This window comes from Homo sapiens, chromosome 7 (genome assembly GCF_000001405.40).
Source record: "Homo sapiens chromosome 7, GRCh38.p14 Primary Assembly".
Classification (NCBI taxonomy): Eukaryota; Metazoa; Chordata; class Mammalia; order Primates; family Hominidae; genus Homo; species Homo sapiens.
The window spans coordinates 149,621,249-149,637,582 of record NC_000007.14 but is presented as its reverse complement, the minus strand read 5'-3'; the positions used below and the strand labels follow the sequence as shown (position 1 = coordinate 149,637,582).

At 49.7% G+C, this 16,334-nt stretch overlaps 1 non-coding gene and 1 pseudogene across 3 annotated transcripts in view, besides 2 other annotated features; one reads left to right on the top strand and one right to left on the bottom strand.

Moving 5' to 3' along the window:
• Window positions 1–1,824: 1,824 nt before the first annotated feature.
• On the bottom strand, window positions 1,825–1,896 carry TRC-GCA9-3 (tRNA-Cys (anticodon GCA) 9-3). Its single transcript has one exon. It is a non-coding gene; the product is annotated as a tRNA-Cys (tRNA).
• Window positions 12,436–13,185: a silencer, noted in NCBI's record as "silent region_18763". NCBI's record gives its function as "represses an Ori minimal core promoter by ATAC-STARR-seq in GM12878 lymphoblastoid cells {active_cell/tissue: GM12878}" and the evidence as "EXISTENCE:reporter gene assay evidence [ECO:0000049][PMID:35858748]".
• The window catches only part of ZNF767P (zinc finger family member 767, pseudogene), a 77,637-nt pseudogene continuing 74,095 nt past the window's right edge, over window positions 12,793–16,334 (top strand). For both annotated transcript variants that reach the window (NR_027788.1, NR_027789.1), the window contains exons 1-2: window positions 12,793–13,041; window positions 16,024–16,323. The product of NR_027788.1 is annotated as a zinc finger family member 767, pseudogene, transcript variant 1 (transcript). The remainder of the gene's footprint in view (window positions 13,042–16,023; window positions 16,324–16,334) is intronic.
• Window positions 13,206–13,305: a silencer, noted in NCBI's record as "silent region_18762". NCBI's record gives its function as "represses an Ori minimal core promoter by ATAC-STARR-seq in GM12878 lymphoblastoid cells {active_cell/tissue: GM12878}" and the evidence as "EXISTENCE:reporter gene assay evidence [ECO:0000049][PMID:35858748]".

Here is a 16,334-nt window from a genome sequence, read left to right as displayed (position 1 = left end):
AGCTTCTCCATGCAACGCGCAGAAGGGTTCCTAGAGCTTCCAGCATTATGCTGAGAGAATCTTTTCTAAGGCTCCCGTGTGTCATAGCAGAAAACCAGAGGCAAAATTGGATCTTGCAGTTGCTGCATTCAGTTAAATGCACAGCCTCCCTGGGCTCTCATGTGAAGGCTGGGGCATTTTTCAGGAAAGAACACCAATCCAAGAACTGTAGAGAGAATTTACGAGAAGATGTGGAGAATTCACAACAAACATCCAAACAAACTCTAAACTCTGCCAAATCTCCATGACAGCAAAAGCAGCCTCCTCTCCCAGCTGATGAAGTGTCTCATAGAACTCCCAGTAGCCCTGGCCGCTGCCCACCAAGTGCCAAAGCTGCCCACTCACTGTAGTAACAGAAAATATCTAGGGGCTTTCCCACCAATCGGGACCCCTGTGCCACAAGTCTGGAATCTACGTGGCCTTTGACTACAGCAAGGGACAGCACCACGTGTCCCTGTGGATGTGTCTTGCCAGGGAAGGTGCCCGGTTTGCCTGTGTTCTCACGTGCCTGGGGCCGTGGCTCAGCCACTGGAGGGAGGGATTCCTCATCCCAGTTCAGAAGCCCCTTTGGGCCTGGGCTTTGGACCCCCAGACAGACAGGCTTACGCCCAATCCCTATCCCTCATATGTGCTGACCTGCTGAGTGACACCTTCTGAGACAACTGGGCTGCTCACCAGGAGGGCAGCTTCCACCTCCCCTAGGGTCAGCCCTGCAGTCCAAGGCCTTGAATTTGGCCTTGGGATAAAAGAGGAGGAAAAGGTAGAAAATAGAAAAAAAGGGCCAGGGGGGTGGCTCGCGTCTGTAATCCCAGCACTTTGGGAGGCCGAGGCGGGCGGATCACCTGAGGTCAGGAGTTTGAGACCAGCCCGGCCAACATGGCAAAACCCCGTCTCTACTAAAAATACAAAAATTAGCCGGGCGTGGTGGCGCATGCCTGTAATCTCAGCTACCTGGGAGGCTAAGGCAGGAGAATAGCTTGAGCCCAGGAGGTGGAGGTTGCAGTGAACAGAGATCGTGCCATTGCACTCCATCCTGGGCTACAGAATGAGCTCCATCAAAAAAAAAAAGAAAAAAAAAAAAGAAAAGAAGCAAAATCCAGCCATTGTCTAAAGGGTGAGGGTGAGGGTGGGGTGGATGGGGTTGATTTTAGAATAAATGTCCATGAGGAAGAGGCAAAGGAAGGAGAGATGTAGTGGATGATCATTCCAGCAAGAAGTGATGTCAAAGCTTACGCACTCAGCTTGAGACAGAAGGAGGAGAATGGACCACACAGTACAAAGGAGGCTCTGGGACTCAAATGAGGGGTCAGTGGGAGAGGGATAGAGCCAATGGCCAGAGAGGGTTGGTTGGTATGAGATAGGTCTGCTAGGACATGGGACCTGACCTGGAGTAAACAGAAACTATTGTGGGTTTCAGGAGGATCCCTCCCTTGGGCAGGCGACATCCTTAAGCAGTGTCCATTGGGAACTCATCTGAAGTGGGTTTCTAGCTCAGAGGAAGAGCATTTGCCTGCAGGTCAAGAGGTCCATGGTGCAAATTTAGTGCCTCTTAGTGCTAGACTTTCAACTGGAAGTCAGTTGGGTGATTTCCGGGGACCGGGGTGGGCGGGGGAGGGGGTGCAGGCGGGCATCTCGTTGGGCCTGTTGAGGGCTCAGCAGATGGGGAGTAGGAGCAGAGGGGGCAGCAGGCCTGGTCATATCTTGCCCAGGGTTGAGTTAATAGAGAGAGCCCGAGAGGAGCATGTGATCCAGGACCCACTTTGGTGATTAAAAGTGAAACAGGGTAGGGGGCACCTGGATTTGAACCAGGGACCTCTTGATCTGCAGTCAAATGCTCTACCCCTGAGCTATACCCCCAGGCCCAGGGAGAGGGTGTAATTAACACCCTTTTCATGTGTCGACACACCAAGAACACGACTCAGCTCTGCAGGTTGGGATGTCCAGGCCAGTTCTGTCTCTCTGAATTCTGGCCTCCCTCCTGTCACTAACACTTCTTTTCCCATCGCTTCTGTGTGGACCTGGCTGAGGACACCCTGGTGGCCTTGTTGACCTTTATGACTGGAAAGACCCTTCAAGTCATCCAGATAATCCTCTTTGACAGTAGCAGTTGTTGAGCATCATGTGAGGTGTGCTAGACTGGGGACAGAACTCTAACTGGGTGACACCACCTTCCCATGCACTGCAAGGAGGCCCAGTGCCTGTGTCTGGGACTTGTATTTGACATACAATACTGTTCATGATAATTTTCCAAGTGATAAGCAAATTGCTTTTGTAAAAGAAAGTTACTTAAATAATAATACTCAGTATTACAAAACCATGGCACATATATACCATAGAATACTGTGTGGCCATAAAAAAAGAATGATAATAGACCAATAGTTAATGGTAACCCCCTGGGAGCAGGTGAAGAAACCAGGGAGCGGGTGGGGGAATCTTCTCTTTTCCGATTTACATGTGATAACTCAATGTCCATGTTTCCAGCCTTCCAGGTACTGAGCCTTCTGGGTGGTTAAAAATAAAAGAGAGAAATTGATAAAATATTCCCCAGGAAGTCTTCTCTGCCTCCTGCAGCTGGCATTGTCCTAATTCCTCCTCCTTCTTCAGATCCTCCCAGGCTTTCTCTCATCCAGTTCCTCTGCCCCGTTCCTTCCAGGCAGCTCTCATCCCTCCCAGTGTTCAGCCCCTCCCCTCTGATGCTGTCACTCTTTTTTCACACAGCAGTTGTCCACTGTCCACCCGGCTGGAACATCACCATGGGGGTGGTGAGTCTGAGGGCAAAAGGCACCCACAATGGGCCGGGGCATCCCTGCTGCCTGTGTCCTGTGCCCAGCACCCAGGCCCTGACCCCCTGTCCCTCAGCCACACTTGAGTTGAGTCCCACAGCACCCCCTTCCACACGTGCCTTCTCCACCCTGACCTACTGCCTCCCCAGAGGCCTCTCGGATGGTGAGGACCTAGTATAGTCAGGTAGTACCATGCCCAAGGAGGTGTATAAACTGTGCAGGAATCAGTAAAAATAAAAATGCCAATGCTGCCCTCCCGAGTCAGCTGGGGCTTACAATCAGGTCAAAATGATGGTGTCAGCATTATTAAAGGCAGAGAAAGGTCTTTCTAGTCATACCTCGAGGAAGACGATCAAGGAAGGGACAAGTCCCCTGCTCAGTGATAAAACCACATATACAGCAAGAGAAATAGACAAGTCGTCTTCCCTGTATGAGAGAGATGGCTGAGTTGGGGTGGGGGCAGCAGGGCAGTTGCTAGGAAGCCCTCCTGAAGAGCAAGAAAGAGAGCAACTAATGCAGCTCTTGTACGAATCCAATGGCCCCTGCATGAAGAAGGAGGAATCTGAAGCCCTCTCTGCCTGAAATGGTCCTACGACCCCAAGTACCAGGCGAGCTCCTGTCTTCTCAGTCTGGATCTCACTGTGGTGGCCCTAAAAAGAGTCAGTGACTGTCCTTAGGAGATGGCTTCCTGCATTGAGTGTGCCTGTGGAAGTAGCCAGCTGGTGTGCAGCTCATGCTGGAGCGAACATCAACAAGGAATCAACTGCACACTGTGGCCACCCTACCCCAGAGTCCCCTCTTCCTCCTACATTAGAATTCCCCTCGGAAACTGCCCTAAGCTTCCAATAGGGAAATTACATAAATTACTCAGACCAATGTGCTAACTGTAAGGAGACTAGAAGGTTAGCAATAGTTGGAGTCCTTGTACCAGCATACAGACAATTTTACATGGCATGGGAACTCCAGGCATGACTGACCTTGCCAGGGGGTGGCTCTTCACAAAACCAGAGGTAGTAAGAGACCTAAGAGCCCAAGGAAGTAAAAGTATAGATGAAAAGAAGTCAGTTGGGCAAATTTTCCTCTCAAATTTCCCTGCCCCACCTTCCGGAAACTATGCAATATTGCCCTCAGCAAGGAAGAAGAGAGCAGATGGGCAAGCCTCTTTTGTGATGGCAAATTCCATCTTCATAAAAGAGAACTTGTCTCCTCTGGTGGGCATGATGTGGTGAAGACTGGCTCCAGGTGTCCCAATGTGGACTCTCAGGGGGTCCTAAAAGGGGCTGGGAGAGTGAAACACACACAAGGCACAGACAGAGGCAGCCCAAGGAGACCACAGGGATCAGTGAGAGTTTCCTGGGGCGGGAGTCACTACCTGCCTCATCTCACTGTGCAGAAGCCTTAGCTGGGCAAAGGAGGTGAACTCCAGCACCAGCTTCTATGGCTAAAATGGACAGTAGGTGCCCTGGAAAAAGCCAGCAGGATGGCCACACTACCCAAGAGAGAGAATTTTTCACATCAGCCCCAATGGTATACACACTACTTATGCATAATAACTACCACAAATATTTCACCTTACCAGTACGCCATGAATGAAACATCACTTCCTCAAGGAAAGTGTCCTTACCTCCTGCAATCGCTTTGATATCCCAGTAATAGTCTTATAATATCCCTGCATCTTACCATCTAGTATTTCTCATATTTTCCATTTTTAACTTCTGTGAACATTTGTACATCTTGATCTATTCCTCTAGTTTCAAGAGCCCATGTCTGTTTCAGTCACCATTGGGATAGGTTGTGTACGGACATGGGCTTCCACTCTGGATTAGATGGGAGTGATTGGAGGATTTCTTGCAGAGGAATAACATAAGCTGATTTCGTCCTCTGGCTGGCCTGAGGGCACTAGAGGACATGTATGGAAGCCGGGACACAAGTTCAGGAAGTTGTCACCATAACCTGGATGAGAGATGATTTCAGCTTTGTCTGATGGTGGAGGCAATGAGAAGTGGTCAGATTTTGGATATATTTTGAAGCAGTGTGAACAGGATTTGCTGATGATTTGAGAGCAGGGTGTGAGAGAAAGGGAAAAGTCAAGGATAATGCCAAGGTTTTCTGTCCTGAGCACCCGGCGGGATGGGGGGGCCATTCTCTGAGATGGCCATTTTCATTGCAGCAGAAATGAAATTTGAGGGGGTGGTGGAAGTCAGGAGTTCAATCTGTGATGTATTAAATTGAATCCATCTGTTAAATGGTCTAATGGAGATGTCAAAAATGAAGCTGGAGTTCGAAGGGGAGGTGTTGGCTAAAGATATAAATTTGAGGGTCATCATCCCATTAAAGCCGCAGGATGGAATGAGAGCACTGAGGAAGTGGGAGTGAAAAGAAAAGTGGTCTAGGAACTAAGACCTGGGCCCTCGAATGTTTAAAAATGGGGATGTTAAGGAGAAACCAGCAAAAGAGATTGAGGAAAAGTGGCAGAGAAGTACAAAGAAAACAACAGAAAAAGAGTGACAGCCCCAATGTCGATTGAAAAAAAAATGCTACTGAGGGCTTGAATTAAAGATGAGAATCACCCATGACACATGGTCACCAAGGACTGTGACAAGCACAGTCTCAGTGAAGTGGAGCACTTGGGTGGGTGTTCTCCTGGGAAGCCCTCCTGACCCTCCTGATGGGTGGGACCCCTGCCACATGCTCCATGGCTCCTGTATGTCTATCAAAGCACACACAGTTCACCATAATTGCTGCAAAGATGTGCCTGTAGGGTTCCCTGTATATCATGAATGGCCAGTACATATATGAATATGCTCAAATGTGTCAATAAAAAAGAGAGGATATATTAATGGAAGGAGATCCCAGGGAAAGCCAAAGGGTGGATAAAGAACACAGGATGTGCTCTAGAGAGGAGCAGGCAGGCTTTTCCTCTTAGCCTGGAGGGGATGAGGAGAAGGTGAAGATGCAGAGCAGAGGATGCTGGGGGGCCTCCATGGCCTTGGTCTTCTCAGTCAGATAGAAAACAAAGTCTTCCAAAGAGAATAAAGGAGGTAGGGTGGGAATCATTACTTGGGAAGAAGGGCAAAGTGTGAATCAGGCACTGTGGGAAATGGAGAAGAAGTGAATTAGAAAGGAATAGAATCATTGCTCATTAGAGAGAGGCACTGGTTGAGGTCAAACTGGTGTAGATTTGCAGTGGGACCATTTGCCTGGCTCTACAATTTACTCCATCAAAGACTGGCTTCCCCAGAGCAAAGGTGGGAAAGGCCAAAGGCGTGTGTATCCGCGGAAGCAGAAGGGCTCATGAGAGAGGTAGATAGACCACAGACCAAGCTCTCAAAGGAGCTGGAATCATGACTGAGAGGCCAAACATGGGATCAATAATGGGCAGGCAGATAGCTGAGCCCCAAGGTGGCCCTGCGGTCATGGGAACAGAGAGAGGTAGACAAGATTAAGGTCAAAATGAGGATAATGAAACATTTTTGGTAACAGTAAGAACATGTAAACATCAGAAAACGTGTCATAAAAGGACTTTTCTGATTCTAAGATCTTGAAAGGGAATAGTTTAAGTGATGATCAGGTTTGGCTATGAATGCTGAACACCCAAAATAACAAAGGATGGAAGCAAAACAAAAACAAGCAAACAAACCAGAAGCTTCCTTTTCTCCCACATAAAAGTCCACAGCTAGGTGGTCCAGGCATGGCTTTCCATAGGGTCAAGAACCCGATTTCTTCTTTGTGGCTGTCTGGCTGGCTTGGCTTTCATTCCAGCATGCCATCACCCACATTAGCATCTCATCGACCTCCCAGCCAGTAGGAAGGAGGAAAGACAAGCCTCTCCATATAAGAACACCCATCACTTTCACCTGCATCTCATTGACCAGCCTTATGCCTATGGCCTCACAGCTCCAAGGGGGTCTGGGAAATGCAGTTTTTCTTCTGGGAAGCCATGTGCTCAGCTGATAACCAAAAGGCAGGGTAGAAGACACTGGTGGAAAACTCTGAATCTCTGCCTCACCACACACCTTGAAGGCCGCAGTGAACGGAGTTTGTGAACATTCCTAGAGCCAGGAAGATGGAAATCTTGGGAGGCCTTAGCATTGGAAGCACATTACCTTGGAGTTTGACATTCCCGAGAATGAAAGCAGGAGGAGGTGAGGAAAATACGATTGTTAGCCTAGTTCTAAAAATTTCCACTAGGTTTGTGGAGAAGACATGAATGTGGAGAGGAGAGCGTGGTGAAAGGAGATGGCTTTGAGAGAGAAGCAGGGAGGGATGGTGGAGGAGCTGGGGTTTGGGGGCAACATGGAGAATGAGGCTGAGAAGGTGACCCCACCCTCTCAGTTCTGGAGGTTGAAGGGGAGGGATGGCTTCACGGGAAAGCTGGCCTTCAGATGTACAAGGAGGGATAAAAAGGCAGACTCCCAGGGCAAGGTTAAGGAGGAAGGAGACTGTTTATAGAGTAGCTGGAGGGCTGGCGGGCTTGGGTGGAGGAGCTAAAACAGTAATGGGGATACAGGAAGGAGGCTGCCCCAAGAGACCATTTTCACTATCAGAAGGCATTGGAGGGCAGGGACGGGAAAGGGGCAAGTACCCAAGTTCTAGGCCAAAGCTCTAAGTGTGAAACTGGAACAGCAAAAGCCACTTCTTAAAAAATGTAAGCTTTTGTGAGTACAAAGTGGTATATATATTTACGGGGCACATGAGCTGTTTTGGAAGAGGCATGCGATGCGAAATAAGCTCATCATGGGGATTGGGGTGTCCATCCCCTCTAGCATTTCTTGTTTGAGTTACCAATGCCACTTTTTGGAGGAAAAAAAAAGTACTAAATAAAAAATTCGAATATTTTGTTAACAAAAGGAATCTGCTTTAAGGAAAAGAAAATTATAAAGCACGTCACCAAAGATAAAAGAAGTTCTGTTATTCAGGCTCCTACATCTTATACTAAAAAGAAAGGTCACAGGATACAGAATATTTTCAACTCAGGGGAGTAGAGCAAAGCACCATTTGCTAAATGGTCAAATTAGGCAGAGCCTCAAGTGACACTACACTTGACCAGGCTCTGTCTTCAATGCCTGCTTCTCTGTTGTGTTTTCCTGCCATTCAGTGTAAAGATAGTAAGACTTTCTTGCTGTCACATAGTTTTATTACAAGAACCTCTTTTTAACCTATCTAAAGTAGAAACTTCTGTTGTTCATATAAATCAGAAGAATTAATAAACATATTTTAGGTAGTTCTGAAAAAGATTCATAAAAGGTGATTAGTGTAAGGGATACTAAAAATCATGAATTGTGCTTCTGAATTCTATGCTGTATAGCTGAACCTCCATGAATTTTGACATTTTGTACCAAAAAAGCTGTTTGTTCTCCAAAGCATAGAATGCCATCACATCCTTTAGCTTTTGAGATGGTTGATATAATTCAATAATCCCTTCTGCAGAAGTTTGCTTTTAAAGCTTAAATATGACATAAAATTGCTTTTGATAGTTACAAAACTTAAACACAACATGGAACTTTACTTATATTTTAACCTGTTGACATTTCATCCTCTGCAGACTCTCTTGGCCTTATATGGGCTCACTCACTGAGCTATAAATCCTCGTGGTTTGTTTGGAATTAGAAGACCAATACCACCCCATCCCAGGGGGAATGCCTGGATGAAAAAGGGGACAAATTAAGACAACTAGGAAATGCTGAAACAGCCTTTGTTCCTGGAAGATGCTGTTCTGGTCCAGTTTTTGTTTGTTTGTTTTTTTTCTCTCCAAGACGGAGTCACGCTCTGTTGCCCAGGCTGGAGTGCAATGGCGCAATCTTGGTTCACTGCAACCTCCACCTCACTGCAACCTCTGCCTCCCAGATTCAAGAGATGCTCCTGCTCAGCCTCCACGGTACCTGGCATTACAGGCACGTGCCACCACGCCCGGCTAATTTTTGTATTCTTAGTAGAGATGGGGTTTCACCATGTTGTCCAGGCTGGTCTCGAACTCTTGACCTCGTGATCCGCCCACCTTGGCTTCCCAAAGTGCTGGGATTACAGGTGTGAGCCAACGCACCCAGCCCCAGGTCCAGTTTCAAGTACTGTACACTTAAATGTGAAAGGAAAATAAATCTTGGGGCCCCCAAATCACTAACCTGAAGGGAAAAGTCAAGCTGGGAACTGCTTAGGGCAAAGCTGCCTCCCATTTTATTCAAAGTCACCCCTCTGCTCACTGAGATAAGTGCATATCTGATTGCCTCCTTTGGAGAGGCTCATCAGAAACTCAAAAGAATGCAACCATTTGTCTCTTATATACCTGTGACCTGGAAGCCCCCTCCTTGCTTTCAGTTGTCCTGCCTTCACCTCAAGTTGTCCCACATTTCCAGAACTAACCAATGTACATCTTACACATATTGACTGATGTCTCATGTCTCCCTAAAATGTATAAAACCACCACATTCTACCCTCACCATTTGCTGGTTCCAGAAAAAATGAAATCTTTACCCTAGTGTCTAATAGAAAAGAAGTTAAAATGTAGGCACCTATTTAAAATGTCAAAATTGAAAAGCCAGAGGGGTTATCTGTATTTGAACTGGTGTCCTGTTGGATCTGCAGTCCAATACTCTACCCCTGAGCTATACTGTGTCCTGCTATTGTGTGGGTTAGTTAATATCTTTGACTTTTATAGCCATACCCAGATTACCAGGAACCTATGAGTTGCCACTTCAAAATAGAAGCTCATAGGAGCTGCCAGACCCGCCTGAGTGAGAACTCATTGACCTTGTGCATAACAAGAGGCAGTGTCTCCTCCTCAGGTACCCCGGATCCTGTGTCTTCCCTGCCGTGAGTCCCTGGGTTGGGGCAGCAGCCTGGAAAAGCACTGCTAGAATGACCTTCAGAGTCAACCTCTAGTGCCTGTCACGGTGGGCACCTACAAAAGAAACTCCATGTGACTGAGGTGTCTTTTCTAACACACTTAATGACAGAGTTGCGTCTGGCTCTCCTGGCCCAGTATTCCATTCAGGGCACTTTCAACACAACTGCAATCTACGACAAAAGATGATTCTTCCAGCTCTACTTCTTCAGTTAATATACATGGAGAATGATGGAGAAGAAGCAACTCCAAGAAATAGTGAGAAGGTGGTAGCTGAGTAGATTTTGGAATCCCCAAAAGCCTTAAAAGGACCAATGTTAACCTAGTTTCAAGGACCAAAAAATGTTGCAGGAGAACAACCCCACTTGACTCTTTCATTGTTTTTTAAGCGGCAGGGTATTCTACTGTTACCCAGGCTGGAGTGCAGTGAAACAATTATAGCTCACTGCAGCCTCCAACTCTTGGGCTCAAGCAAGCCTCCCGCCTCAGCCTCTCAACTAACTGGGACCACAGGTGTGTGCCACCATACCCAGTTAATACTTTTTATTTTTATTTTTTTGTAGAGCAGACGTCTCACTATGTTGCCCAGGCTGGTCTGAAACTCGGGGCCTCAAGCGATCCTCCTGCCTTGGCCTCCCAAAGCTCTGGGATGAGCCACTGCGTCCAGCCTCCCACGTGACCTTTCCGATGGCAAGCAGAGCCCTGTCCCTCTTAGAAGGAACACGTGGAGTAACACTTGGGTAAGCTCGTTTTCACCTCCTCAGCTGTGCCAAGGCCCCGCCTCTTCTCTTGTCACAGGAGCTGGTAAACTGTCCCTTCCTGTGAACTGTCTTTTCCTTCTACTGGAATTTTCTCCTTTACCCACAGGCCTTTTGCCTTGTAGCCCTGGCAGCCTTCTCAGAAGGCAGCAAAGCCAGCCACTCCTCTCCACTTCTGGTCCGAGGACCTGGGAAACACTGAATTCCACAGTGATTTCTATGATGTTAAATTCCTTCAAGGGACACACAGATGGTCACTTAAGTCCAGACCGCACTTTGCCCCACTGCTCACATCCTCCAGCACACACCATGGGACACACCATGAAAGCACTAGTTCCCCTAGGGGCCATATTGCCATGGAGATGACACCTCTGTCTCCTCAAACAGGAATAAGGCCCTTTTCCAAGGTAATCCGGGAGTAGCTCTTCCAGGCAACATGGCAGGGACTTGCCAACACATTGTTGTCTTGATAATAGAGGTAAATTATCATGCAGGGTGACCCGCAAAAAGGCCACAGTGAGAGAGGAAGCGGTGGTCTTCTACTGGGTCCCGTATCAAGTGGTGAAAGGAAGGCTGGACTCAGGGACATTTGCAGAATGATCTACTCCAATCTCCTCACTTTACATGTGAGGCAAGGGCTGACTGACTTGCCCAAGGGTCTCGACTGGTTAATGACAGAACTGACAGGTCTCCTGATTCCCAGTTCCCCCTACAATCTCCGTGGTGCACATGTCCCAGCCTAGACAAGGCTGGCTTTTTTTTTTTTTTAATCCAGGACATTACAGTGAAGCTAAGGAAGCTTCAGAGTGCCTTTCCTGCACCAGCTCTGTGCCTCCTTCTAAATTTGTAATTTTATGAGGCTTTTACTTAATAATGTTCTTCCTGATTACACAAGCTGCAGACCCATAAAACACGAGTCCACCCCTAGGAGAGGAGATGTGTTACTTGAGAGGGGAAGGAATCACGTGGAAGAGCTGAAGGGAAAAAAAAAAAAAAACAGGAAAAACCTGGGGCAGGTCCAGGGACATTCTCCTACAGCTCACGGGGTGAGTAGGGTGATTTTACCCTTTGTCGGATTTACTCCAAAAGACAAAATGATGCCAAAGGCTCCAGGCAGGAAATCTCTAAACCCCCTCATTTGAGGGACAATCGCCCAGAGATGAGAGGCATCAGAGAATAGCTAGGTTGTGCCTGCGACCCAAAGAAGCAAGTCGGACGCAGGAGCATCGGCAACACTATGAGTAAGGTCTTCGCCCACACGACTCCTGGGGCAATTCCATTTTTATACACTGAACGTACAGCCCACGCTGATGAAGAGAAACTAGGGGAGAATGTTCAGATCCCGGTCCCTAGGCCTGGCAAGCCCCATAGACCCCACATCACATGTCGCAGGTTCCCCAGCTGGAAAGAGCCCCACTCAGCCCAGGAATCTGAAAGGCAATGCGCCTCTGTAACCACGTGGGGGCCCCCGTCCAAGGCGCCCTCCATCCTCAGCCTCTTAAGGACTTTTAAATGTTTATTTTTCTCTCGTTTAAAAATACTATCCTTGTTATTGAAAAATAAAAACATGAATTGGGAAAATAAAATGCGTAAAAACGGCCTGTGCTCTATTAAAGAAAACTACTTAGTCTATGTTGACATTTGTATGCTTCCAAACTTTCAAAACTATAGATACACATATACACGGTATATAATACTACATATGATGTCATATATTGTTTTAAAGTGTTAATTTTAAAACAAAGACAGGATCGTTCTGGACAGGCTTTTTCTCTTAAAATATCATGAACATCTGTCCATACCAATTTCTTCCCCAAAATAATGTTCAATGATGGTATTGCGTTCCATTGCTCATGCCATTAAAAAATATTTACTGTAATAAACACATGGTAGAAAATGCTAAGTAGCATCTACCGGTATATTCCTATTGTTCGAAGTATTTATTCCACTTCAAACACAGATGGGGATGAGTTACAGCTGCCCCCCGAAAACAGCCCAAACCTCCAGGCCCAGGACCTCGGGCGGCAGAAGTGCCTGTTCGGCCGCGCCGGGGCCCAGCTGGGCGAGGGGGCCACACTGCCCGCGGTCACCGGGGAGGGCCCTGCCTGGAAGCCCCTGCTTGCCCGCGGGCGCGGCCAGGCGGGTCTTATGAGGGGGACTCTTTCGGTAACCGAGTCCCTCGGCCTGGGTCGCGGGGCCAGCGCAGTGACTGCGCGCGCACACGCGGCAGTCGGGGAAGGGGCGAGGGGTCGGCCAGGGGTCGCGGGGTCAGCTCCCGGGCGCGGGCCAGGCGGGGTCGCGCCTGCAGTTCGCCTCCGGAGCTGCAGGTGGGGCTGTGCGGCTGCCTGCCTCCAGGAAGCCTCATGTGCCTTCGTCGGCCGCGCCGGCTCCCAGGATACAGTGCGGACCGGCCGGGCGCTAAAGGCGTTGACGCAACTGCGGGCGGCGCAGGGCAGGGGCAGTCAGGGAGCAGCGGCGGCAGAGACAGGGCTGGGCGGGCGCCGCCTGCGGAGAGCACCGGGAGGCGGGCCCTGCGTGGGGCCGCGCGCAGCAGCGGCGACGACTTTATCTGGGCCGCGGGGGACAGCGCAGGGCCATGGAGGAGGCGGCCGCAGCTCCGGTAAGGGCGACCAGCGCGCGCACGAACTCGCGGCCTGGATTCCCCGGGCGACCCGGGCCCGGCACACGGGGGCTGCGGGAGCCGAGCCGTACTACCGCGCCTGGGGCTCCGGGGAACAGGGCCGCGGCGTCTGCCGGGGCCTACTGCGCTTGCCAGCCGGGCCCCCCACTCCGGGCCGAGCCCGAGCGCTGGCGGAACGGTTGTCCCCGCCCCGGGCCGCCCCACGCCAAGATCCTTGGCCCCTCCGGGGCTTCCTGCCCCCGCCCCAGCCGCTGAACCCTACATCTGCGTCCCCCCACCCGAGGCTCTTTTCTCTGCTTGGCGCTCGGCCTGTGGGTCCCTCCCCCAGCTCCCCCCAGCGGCTTAGTGGTACCTGGGAGTTGTGAGGCTTCGAATCCGCGTATACCGACACCCCTTACGTGCCCAGCTCCCCAGGGTCGGCGCGGAAGGGAATATAGAGCCAGGTACTGCACCAAGTCCTGTTGAGGCCTTAGTCTGTCCTTCTGTCCTCACAGCAAGCCTGTGGGATGGGTACTGGTGTTATCTCTGTCATGCAAAAGAAAAACCTGGGGCTTAGAGAAGTTAACTTGCCCAGGCTTGCACACCTGGAAGTGTGAAAAGACACACAGTGGCTGTGTGTTCAAGGACCAGGCAGGCAGGTACGCGGGCAATAATTGTGCAAAATAGGAAGGGGTGAGTGTTGGCGCCCAGGTGGAAGCTTGCGGTGGGCTCCGGGGGAAGGAGTGTCAGGGGGCCTCTTGGTACCGCTGTCCACCCCTCCTGGCCTGATGCTCTGCGCCTCTGTGATTTGAGCCGGGCTTTTAGGGACGGCTAGGATTTCAGGCCCAGCTAGACCGGTGGTGCTTTCAGGGAGGGAGGAGTGCCTGGGCAAAGGCGCAGAGAGACGGGACAGTGCAGGGCGTGTGCAGGCACAGAAAGGAGTCCATGAGCCTGGAGAAGATGGTTTTGGTTTGGAGGCAGTGGGAAAGGAGTCTGCAGAGAGAGACTAGGAAGGGGCTTGCATGCCAGGACTTCATCCTGCGGGTGGGCGGCCAGTGAGGGATCGGGCTCCTCTTACCATCAGCTCCTCTCAAGCAAAGAGTTTCGGCTTCCTGGCAGGAGTCCAAGGACAGCCCCACATATTCCAGCCACTTGTCAGTAAGAAGCTGGGCTGGAGTGAGCAGCGCACAGTCGACACCTCCCACCACATAGTGTGAAGGCCTTACACAGGGTTTCCTGGCCCCATCAGAATTGTGAGAAAACCATGTACTTTATTATCCATGAGTAAAAGACTAATATTTTCTTAATAAAGTAGTTTATGCAGAGGTCCCTTTCATGCCACACAAAGACTGTAATAATGCACGTGGAGGATGGGTAGGATTTCAGTGGATGGGGAGCTGGTGACCAGTTGAAAGGAAGCTTCTGGAGTAAACTCTTGGCGTTCGACTTCACGTGGCAGGGATTGATCTAAGAAAGGAGAGGTGAGGGAACAGTGGCCTTAGGTGGAGGGCAGACTCAAACCCAGAACCAAGCGGGCCCACCCAGGTACTTGTAGGACCACCTACTCCTTGAGAGCAAGACTCGCCATCCACATTGGGGTTTTCGCCTAGAAACAGTTCAGCTTGTCCAGAACCTCCCAGCCTTGAAGACCTTTTAGAGTCCTACCTTCTTTGGGTCCTGTTTCCCTCCAAACAGCCAGACAGGCCCTTGAGTACTGTCCTGGAGAAGTTTTTTTCTGCTTCTGCTCAAACTCTCCTTTTGTCTCTATTTTTTGAGGTATCTATTCACATTGTAGTTCTCAGTGACTTTCCCTGAGTGCATCCACACTGGTTTCTAGTAGCCACTTCTTCATTTTGCAAACAATCACCAACCTTTTGTTGAGGAATTATTTTGCAGAATGTTGTAAGGGGGCGTCGATCCTTGGGCATGGATACCAGGAGCTTCTCTCTGCCCTATAGGTCCCACATTCAGATGTGGGTGGCTCAAATAGTCCAGCTCCCCACCCAAGGCAAAATGTGCTCATTCTTCCTTGTCCCCAGCTGCCAGTCACTGATACACCATGTGAATGTTTCCAAGGACAGGGAAGCCCCTCATCTCGAATTAAGATGGTTTTTGCCCATATATAAGTGTAAGTTTGTGGCATATGTCCATTTTCCTCACCAGAGTGTATGTCACCACTCCTAGTACAGCTACAAAAATGATTGAAGCCATCATTTTTACCTTGAGGAGATGGGAATTGGGAAAGAGAAAGAATCTTGTAGGGCTCATGCAGTGTCAAAAAACTCTGGACTGATGGAGATTTGCAGTCATGGGGATTTTAGCTTGTGGGGAGGGGCAGATGGGAAGGGGACAAAATGAGACTGTCCTGGGGGAAGAGGAACTGGCCATTAGATTTTTATGTTTATTAAAAGGGGACATAAGATGCTTTAAAAAAAATGAGCAGTACTCTTGTTTGTGCGGTTTCAGTGAACGAGCTGTGGTTTTTTTTTTTTTTGGCTGGGTCATCATCAGTAGACAGTTCCTGTGTAATCATGAGGGGAGGTGCAGGCTGGGCTCTAGTAAATCTGCAGTTTACCATTTCCCCACTAAAATACCGAGCAATGCTAAGTCACACTATACGTAGCAAAACTGCACTGAGTGCCAGGCATGTGTCAAGGACCGTGGTGTGAAAAGGTGCAATACCATGTTCAGGGAGCCAACAGTGTAGGCGTGGGTAGGAAATTACTGTGTAGGGTGATAAGCACCGTGATAAGGGTCTGCATTGTGCTGCAGAGGCCTGGAGTAAAGGCACCCACCCAGACATAGACCTAACATACCCAAGCAGGTGATGGCCAACCTGAGATCTGGCATGTGGTATAGGATAGCCCCACTTGTCCACACATATGGACTCCCAGCCCAACTCCCCCGTGCCTAGGGAGAGAGGGGCTCAGTGAAGACAGTGGATGGAATGAATGATGCCAGTTTCTCTTTTGTTTCTGAAAGATTTCTCCGTGGACGATGGCAGCCACGATTCAGGCCATGGAGAGGAAGATTGAATCGCAGGCTGCTCACCTGCTTTCCCTAGAAGGTCAAACCGGGATGGCCGAGAAGAAGCTGGCTGATTGCGAGAAGACAGCCGTGGAGTTCGGGAACCAGCTGGAGGGCAAGTGGGCCGTGCTGGGGACCCTGCTGCAGGAGTACGGGCTGCTGCAGAGGCGGCTGGAGAACGTGGAGAACCTGCTGCACAACAGGAACTTCTGGATCCTGCGGCTGCCCCCGGGCAGCAAGGGGGAGTCCCCTAAGGTAGCCCTGGG